We start from the raw sequence: 7,787 nt of genomic DNA, 5'->3' as shown, positions 1-7,787 counted from the left end.
TTTAATTCAATAAACATTTATTGAAGATTTATTAGATGTCAACTGCTGGGCCAGGCACAGGTGATACAACTGTGAACATTATAGACTTATAGCTGCCTCAAGGAGCTTATGGGGTTGGGGAGAGAGGCAAGAGATCAGCCAATGAGGACCAGGGTGAGAAGGGATAGGATGTGCAAGGACAGGCAGAGAGGGCTAGTGGCCTGGGAGGATGTCCTGGGTTATGACTTCTTCCTGGCTGGTCTCCCACAGACTATAATCTCTGTAAGCACAGAGCTAGCCCCAAACTTCCTGACAGCCCAAAGGTCCAGTCTGCCCTCGTTGAGATCAACTGGACTGGATAAAATAACAGATCTGCACTGGGGTCTGGTCAGATCTGTTGGGGGTATTTATTTCTTTTTGTTTGAGACAAGGTCTCACTCTGTCACCCAGACTAGAGTACAGTGGTGCAGTCATAGCTCACTGCAGCCTCCAACTCCTGGGCTCAAGTGATCCTCCCACCAAGTAGCTGGGACTACAGGTATGCCACTATGCCTGGCTAATTTTGTTTGTTTGTTTGTTTGAGATGGAGTTTCGCTCTTTCACCCATGCTGGAGTGCAGTGGCGCAATCTCGGCTCACTGCAACCTCTGCCTTCCGGTTTCAAGCGTTTCTCCTGCCTCAGCCTCCTGAGTAGCTGGGATTATAGGCGCCCACGACCACGCCAGGCAAATTTTTATATTTTTAATAGAGACAAGGTTTCACCATATTGGCCAGGCTGGTCTTGAACTCCTGACCTCATGATCTGCTCACCTCGGCCTCCCAAAGTGCTTGGATTATAGGTGTGAGCCACAGCACCCGGCCACATTCTTTAGTTTTTGTAGAGACGGGGTCTTGTTATGTTGCCCAGGCTGGTCTCTAACTCCTGGCCTCAAGTGATCCTCCTGCCTTGGCCTCCCAAAATACTGCAGGTGTGGGACTACAGGTGTGATTACAGGTGTGAGCCACCGCACCAGACTGGGGTATTTGTTTCTAACCCCTGCACCACCTCTTAATCTTTGTTACTTCACTCTTCTCCCCAAACATCTGCCCTCTGTCTGTAAAACGGGGTTAGCAGCAATATCTGTTGCATTGGGTGGTTGTGAGCTCACGAGGTGATGCATGTCAGGGGCCTGCCTGGCATCATAGTAAGTGCTCAGAAAGCCAGGGTAGGATCAAGCATGTATCAGAATCACCTGGATGATTTGTTAAAACAGTTTCCTGGGCCTCACTCTACAGTTTCTGATTCAGCAAGTATGGATAAGGTCCAAGAATTTGTGTTTCTTTTTTTTTCAGAGACAAGGTTTCGCCATGTCACCCAGCCTGGTTTCGAGCTCCTGGGCTCAAGCAATCCTCCTGCCTTAGCCTCCTAAGTGTTGGGATTACCGGAGTGAACCACCTTACCTGGCTTTCTTTTTTTTTTTTTAATACTTAATTTTTTTTAAGAGAGGAATGTCTCACTCTGTTGCCCAGGTTGGAGTGCAGTGGCGAGATCATAGCTCACTGCAACCACAAACTCCTGGGCTCAAGTGATCCTCCCACCTTAGCCTTCCAGGTAGCTAGTACTACAGGCATACACCACCATGCCTGGCTAATTTTTAATTTTTTTTTTTCTTTTTGTAGAGACAGGGTCTTGCTATGTTGCTCAGGCTAGTCTCAAACTCCTGGCCTCAAGGAATCCTCCTGCCTTGGCCTCCCAAAGTGCTGGAATTACAGTCATGAACCACTGTACCCAGCCAAGAATTTGCCTTTCTTTTTTTTTTTTTTTTTTTTTTTGAGACGGAGTCTCACTCTGTCGCCCAGGCTGGAGTGCAGTGGCGGGATCTCGGCTCACTGCAAGCTCCACCTTCCTGGTTCACGCCATTCTCCTGCCTCAGCCTCCCGAGTAGCTGGGACTAGAGGCGACCACCACTGCGCCCAGCTAATTTTTTGTATTTTTAGTAGAGACGGGGTTTCACCGTGGTCTCGATCTCCTGACCTCATGATCCACCCGCCTCTGCCTCCCAAAGTGCTGGGATTACAGGCGTAAGCCACCGCGCCTGGCCGAATTTGCCTTTCTAACAAGTTTCCAAAGTGATGTTGATGCCGCTGGTCCAGGACCACACTTTGAAAACCAATAGCTTAAATGAATTACACCATGGCTTCCTGGTCTGATATATCTGGTTTCCACCCTCCACAACAGGGAGAACTCACCAGTGGGCCCTGAATTCTTTCATGTCAGGGCCGTCAAAAGAACTGTGTCTGATCAGCCTCCTCTGCTCCAGCATAGGCACCTTTACATGGTTTTACGGGTTGAATTATTATTATTATTTTCACTTTCATCTCTACAGAAAATAATCTAAAAATTAGCCAGGTGTGGTGGTGGGTGCCTGTAGTCTCAGCTGCTCAGGAGGCTGAAGTGGGAGGATTGCTTGAACCTAGGAGGTTGTGGCTACAGTGAGCCATGATTATACCACTGCACTCCAGCTCAGGTGAAAGAATGAGATCCTGTCCCCCACTGCTGCCAAAAAATAGTAACCAGACTCCAAAAGCATAGGCAACAAAAGCAAAAATAGACAAATGGGTTTATACCAAATTAAAAAGCTTCTGCACAGCAAAGGAAATGACAGAATAAAGAGACAACCCACAGATTGAGAAAAAAATATTTACAAAATATACATTAGATCAGGGACTAATATCCAAAATGTACAAACTCAGACCGCTCAATAACAATAAAACAAATAACCCTATTAAAAATGGGCAGGGCCAGGTGCAGTGGCTCATGCCTGTAGTCCCAGTACTTTGAGGGGCTGAGGCAGGAGGACTGCTTCAACCCAGGAGTTTGAGACAAGTCTGGGCAATATAGTGTGACCCCACCTCTAAAAAAATAATGATAATATTAATACAAAGCTTCTGGGCTGAATTATGTCCTCCTCAGAAGTTACTGAAGTCCTAACCTGCCAGTACCCGTGAAGGTGATCTTATTTGGAAACAGGGTCTCTGCAAGTGTAAACCAGTTAAGATGAAGTCATCAGTGTGAGCCCTGATCCAATGTGACTTGTGTCCTTAAGAGAGGAAACACAGAGACATGAGGGGAGAATGCCATGTGATGATGGAGGCAGAGACTGAAGTGCTGTGGCTGCTAGCCAAAGATTGCCAGCAAACCCCCAGAAGCCAAGAAGAAGCGGACGGATTCTCCCCTACAGGTTTCAGAAGGAGCATAGTCCCACCCGTGCTTTGATTGTAGACTTCCAGCCTCCAGAACTGTGAGACAATAAATTTCTCTTGTTTTAAGTCACCCAGTTTGTGGTTCTTTGTTACGACATTCCTAGGAAACTGATACCCTGAGGTATCATTTTACAGACAACACCAACACAAACCTTTTCAAAATCATTTACTTCTTCACGGGCAATATGACTAGCCTTCTACCAAATTTGTGGGTGTTTCCTTTCATGAAGTCCATAGGTATGAGAAACTAAGCAGTGAACTCTCATCTGCTGCCTTTTGACCTTCCTACTTTCCCGGAGTGTATTTTATTATCCCTTATATTTTACCTGTCCACTTGGAGAAGGAAATGTGACAGCACAAACACATGATGAGCTGGGAAAGCCTCACACCTCTGTTTCCCATCAGTGTGTTCCATGGGAGCTGGGTAAGGGCAAGGGAAGGTATGGGAAGGTGTACTCTCACCCTAGTCCAGGAGACCATGCCCAGGGCAAAGTGCAATTCATCATCACTGCATCATTACCATCAAACTGTGCCATCTCTCTGGTCCCCATCCTAGGGGATTGGGGGTGGGGATCTGTGTTCATTTTCACCTTATTTCAGGCAGTTATTAACCTGAAGGTGCCTGTAGGGTCTGCGAGATAGCAGGGAAGGAGTCTTCGTCTCCCTCACAGATGGTCACCTTGTCTTCAGCACCACCACCCCCCTCCCAATTGTTCTCATGGGGTAACCTCCTTCCTTGGCCTCCCATCCCCACAGGACAGCCGTTCTCTTCCTGAAAGGAGGGTCTTTTCAGGAAGTGGAGGACTTTAAATTCCTCCTTGGATCTATGTTCACAGTCTTCAGAACCCAGCCTGTCCCAACTGTCTCTCAAACCTTCTCAACCACTCCCTATCCTTCACCTGACCAAACTTACTCTAGCACCTACAGCTTGCTATGCCTTCTTTGCTTCCTAGAGATGGCACCTGCTGTTCCTTATGCTTAAAACACCCTTCCAGCTGGGCACAGTGGATCATGCCTATAATCTCAGCACATTGGGAGGCCAAGGCGGGCAGATCGCTTGAGCCCAGGAGTTTGAGACCAGCCTGGGCCATGACGAAACCCCATCTCTACAAAAAATGTACAAAAATTAGCCAGGTGTGGTGGTGCATGCCTGTAGTCCCAGCTACTTGGGAGGCTGAGGTGAGAGGATTGCTGCCTGGGAGGTTGAAGCTGCAGTGAATTGAGATCACACCACCGAACTCCAGTCTGAGCAATAGAGAGAGACCCTGTCTCAAACAAAACAAAACAAAACAAAACAAAACACTCCTCCATCTCCAAACCACATGAAACATTCTTGGAGAGGGGGACTGGGGAGGTTCTTCTGTGCACCCCTGAGCACCCTGCTTCCCTCTATCTAGAGGAAGGCCACATTGTCTGGTAAGTGCTTGTTTGCTGTCCCTCTTCCTTCATGAGACTAAACTCTCCAAGAACAGAGCCCTGGACTTGTCTGCATCTGCAGCAGGGAGCCCCTAGCTTTGTGATTCAAAATAGGCTTGTGGGCTTTTCATGAGAGGAAGAAATGGGTGAAAAATAATGATCATCAAAATGAAAGTTATTATTCATGCAAGATTTGGGGGGAGTCTGGCCTCCTGTATTCAAAATCTCATTTAAGGTCAAAAGACACTTGGGACCCATTTATCCCCACTGCACAGGTGAGCACACTGAGGATTTGAGAGGTAAAGAGTAGATCTCACAGCCAGTTAAGTGGTCGAAATACAAGTATGCCTGATTCCAATGCCCCAGTCGCCCCCAATTACTGCATGGACAGAGGGCAAATTGGCAGGCTAGCGGGTCTGCCTTTCTGGCCGATGGGGACCAAGAGCCCCAGACCCGCTCGGGTACCAGGGCCGCTTAGGCCCCGGCGTACCGGCGACGCGTGCGCAGTGCAGTGCGGCGCCCCCTGCAGGCAGCGCGCAGGAGACGGTAGCGGCGAAGGGGCGCTCAGTGCGCCTGCGCGCTTGTGGAGCTGGTGGCGGCGCTCCGCAGGGGCTCGGCTGTTTTCCGCGCGGCAGGCGCGGCCATGGCGCAGCTGGGAAAGCTGCTCAAGGAGCAGAAGTACGACCGGCAGCTGAGGTGAGCCGAGGCTCACCGAGCCGAGGGCGGGCCGGCGGGCTTTCCAGCATTCGGGCCGGGCCTAAGGGCGCGGGCGGCGCGGTCGGGCCTTCCTCAGGCCTTCTTCCAGGCTGGGCCGGGCCGTGCGGGGCGCGGGAAGCCGGCGCTCGGAGCTCCCGCCCTGGGCCAAAGGTGCTCCGCGAGGGCTGGGACCCCTTCCCCCGCCACGCGGTGTGCAGTTCGGGGGACGGGGTCCCCAGCGCCAGCCGGGTAGCTAAGGCGGCTGCCGGCCCCGTTGCGCCCAGGCTCCTCGTTTTCCGAATGGGGAGGCCCGGGGCGCACCGCATCCCGGCCGCGAGGGCGGCACAGAGGGTTAGGTTTTGTTCTCAGCCAGCGCTGTCCAATGGAAATAAAATGCTAGTCTCATGTGAGCCGCAAATGTAATTATAAATTTTCTAGTAACCACACTAAAGGTAAAATGAAACAGATGAAATTGATTTTTAAATACAATTTAACCCAATATGTCCAAAACATTACTATTTCAACACAATATAAAAAGTTCTTGAGATATTTTACTTAAATTTTTATTTTTATTTTTATTTTTGTTTTTGTAGAAACGAGGTTTTTGCCACCTTTCCCCAAGCTGGTCATGAGTATTTTCCTTTTTAAAACTGTCTTGGAGGACCGGCACGGTGGCTCACGCCTGTAATCCCAGCACTTTGGGAGGCCGAAGCGGGCGGATCACCTGAGGTCAGGAGTTCGAGACCAGCCTGGGCAACATGGTGAAACCCTGTTTCTATTTAAAAATTCAGAAATTAGCTGGGCGTGGTGGTGCGCGCCTGTAATCCCAGTTACTCTGGAGGCTGAGGCTGGAGAATCGGTTGAATCCAGGAGGTGTAGGTTTCAGGGAGCCGAGATCGTGCCACTGCACTCCAGCCTGGGTGACAGAGCGAGACTCCGTCAAAAAAGCCCCCCCAAAACTATCGTATAAATATTGTATTTTACACTTACCAGCACATCTCAGTTAACACTAGCCTCATTGCTTGTGCTCAGTAGTACATGTGGCTAGCAGCTACCTTAATGGACAGTGCAGGCCTAAGCCATCAGGAGGGTCCTTGGGTACTTCCCCACCCTTGCCTTTTCTCCTTGCACTACCCATTCCTTATTTATTGAGCGTCTTCTGTGTCTTGAGGCTGTGGAGATAACAAAGCTGCTCAGCTTTCCTCCTTCCTGGAGCCTCTGAGACAACAGAAGTTATATGTCCCCAAGGACTGGAGCTTCTGTTTGCGCCACCAGCCTAGTGCTGTAGTAGAGGCTTTAGGCACTTAGTTCTGAGAGTACCCTTGAAAGCAACCATTTCCTGTGCTTTACAGTTGGAGAAACAGAGTCTTGGAGAAGTTAGGTAATTTGCCCAGAGTTCCCCATATCTTTGAGCCAGGATGTAAACTAAGGCTCTTCTGGCTTTTTCGGAGGTACTCAGTTACATCCTGCTTCCAAGCTTTTCGGAGAAGAAACAGGGTAACAGTCCTTATAACCAACTTAGGTTTTCTTGTAAATTCTTGGAGTTCTTGTGTTTCTAATGCAGGTATAACTGTACATGACAGAGCTGAGAAGATAGTTGAGGTTACTAAGCAACTCTAACAAAAGAGGGTTTTTGCTGAGGGCATTCCATTTAAGTCCCAAACTTTACTTTCATAGTGAGAACTGGTTTTGAAGTGTCAAAGGGAAGCAGTTAGAAGCAAAATGCAGCAGTCAATAAGCCCCTCCTTACTTCACGTTAGTTGGGCCAGCAAGATAGTAGAGAGGACTGATTCATTTGGCCTATTCTTGAAACATGTTACTTAGAGACACACCAGGATTCTTTTTTTTTTTTTTTTCAGGGACAAGGTCTCACTTTGTGACCCAGGCTAGAGTGCAGTGGCTAGAGTGCAGTGGCAAGAACACTGCTCACTGCAGCCTCAACTTCCTGGGCTCTAACGATCCTCCTGCCTCAGCCTCTTGAGTAGCTGGGACTACAGGCATGTGCCACCATGCTTAGCTAACTGTTTTAGAGATGGGGGTTTGCCCAGGCTGGTCTCGTACCTCTGCACTCAAGTGATCCTCCTGCCTCAGCCTCCCAAAGTGCTAGGATTACAGGCATGAGCCACAGTGCCTGGCCTCAGTATTCTTTTTGTTTTATTTTTGAGGTGGGTCTCAGTATGTTACCCAGGCTGGAGTGCAGTGGCTGTTCGCAGGTATGATTATTGGCACACCACAGCCTTGATCTCCTGGGCTGGAGTGATCCTCCTGCCTCAGTCTCCCAAGCAGCTGGGACTACAGGCACACACACTATCTCACCCTGCTTGAGATGCACCAGTATTTTTTTTTTTTTTTTTTTGAGACGGAGTCTCACTGTGTTGCGCAGGCTGGAGTGCAGTGGCGCGGTCTTGGCTCACTGCAATCTCCGCCTCCTGCGTTCATGCGATTCTCATGCCT

General features: G+C 49.3%; 1 protein-coding gene across 5 annotated transcripts in view, besides 5 other annotated features; it reads left to right on the top strand.

Annotated features, from left to right (window-relative positions):
* Nucleotides 4,980-5,480: an enhancer, noted in NCBI's record as "H3K27ac hESC enhancer chr16:66864603-66865103 (GRCh37/hg19 assembly coordinates)". NCBI's record gives its function as "activates a minimal SCP1, AML or CMV promoter by ChIP-STARR-seq in primed H9 embryonic stem cells {active_cell/tissue: H9 hESC(primed)}" and the evidence as "EXISTENCE:reporter gene assay evidence [ECO:0000049][PMID:30033119]".
* Nucleotides 4,980-5,509: a biological region, named in NCBI's record as "H3K27ac hESC enhancer GRCh37_chr16:66864603-66865103".
* Nucleotides 5,204-7,787, top strand: part of NAE1 (NEDD8 activating enzyme E1 subunit 1) — a 28,099-nt gene continuing 25,515 nt past the window's right edge. For all 5 annotated transcript variants that reach the window (XM_047434835.1, NM_001018160.2, NM_003905.4 and 2 more), the window contains exon 1: nucleotides 5,204-5,333. Coding sequence is in view for 2 of the 5 variants with exons in the window: in NM_003905.4 (NP_003896.1) it covers nucleotides 5,281-5,333 (53 nt within the window). In the remaining 3 variants the exon portion in view is untranslated. The remainder of the gene's footprint in view (nucleotides 5,334-7,787) is intronic.
* Nucleotides 5,244-5,468: a silencer, noted in NCBI's record as "fragment chr16:66864615-66864839 (GRCh37/hg19 assembly coordinates)". NCBI's record gives its function as "represses an EF-1alpha promoter that drives an FKBP-Casp9 reporter gene in an ReSE screen in K562 erythroleukemia cells {active_cell/tissue: K562}" and the evidence as "EXISTENCE:reporter gene assay evidence [ECO:0000049][PMID:32094911]".
* Nucleotides 5,450-5,509: a silencer, noted in NCBI's record as "silent region_7569". NCBI's record gives its function as "represses an Ori minimal core promoter by ATAC-STARR-seq in GM12878 lymphoblastoid cells {active_cell/tissue: GM12878}" and the evidence as "EXISTENCE:reporter gene assay evidence [ECO:0000049][PMID:35858748]".
* Nucleotides 5,520-5,729: a silencer, noted in NCBI's record as "silent region_7568". NCBI's record gives its function as "represses an Ori minimal core promoter by ATAC-STARR-seq in GM12878 lymphoblastoid cells {active_cell/tissue: GM12878}" and the evidence as "EXISTENCE:reporter gene assay evidence [ECO:0000049][PMID:35858748]".

Source organism: Homo sapiens, chromosome 16, assembly GCF_000001405.40.
Source record: "Homo sapiens chromosome 16, GRCh38.p14 Primary Assembly".
In the NCBI taxonomy this organism is placed as follows: domain Eukaryota; kingdom Metazoa; phylum Chordata; class Mammalia; order Primates; family Hominidae; genus Homo; species Homo sapiens.
This window is presented reverse-complemented; position numbering and strand designations above follow the sequence as displayed.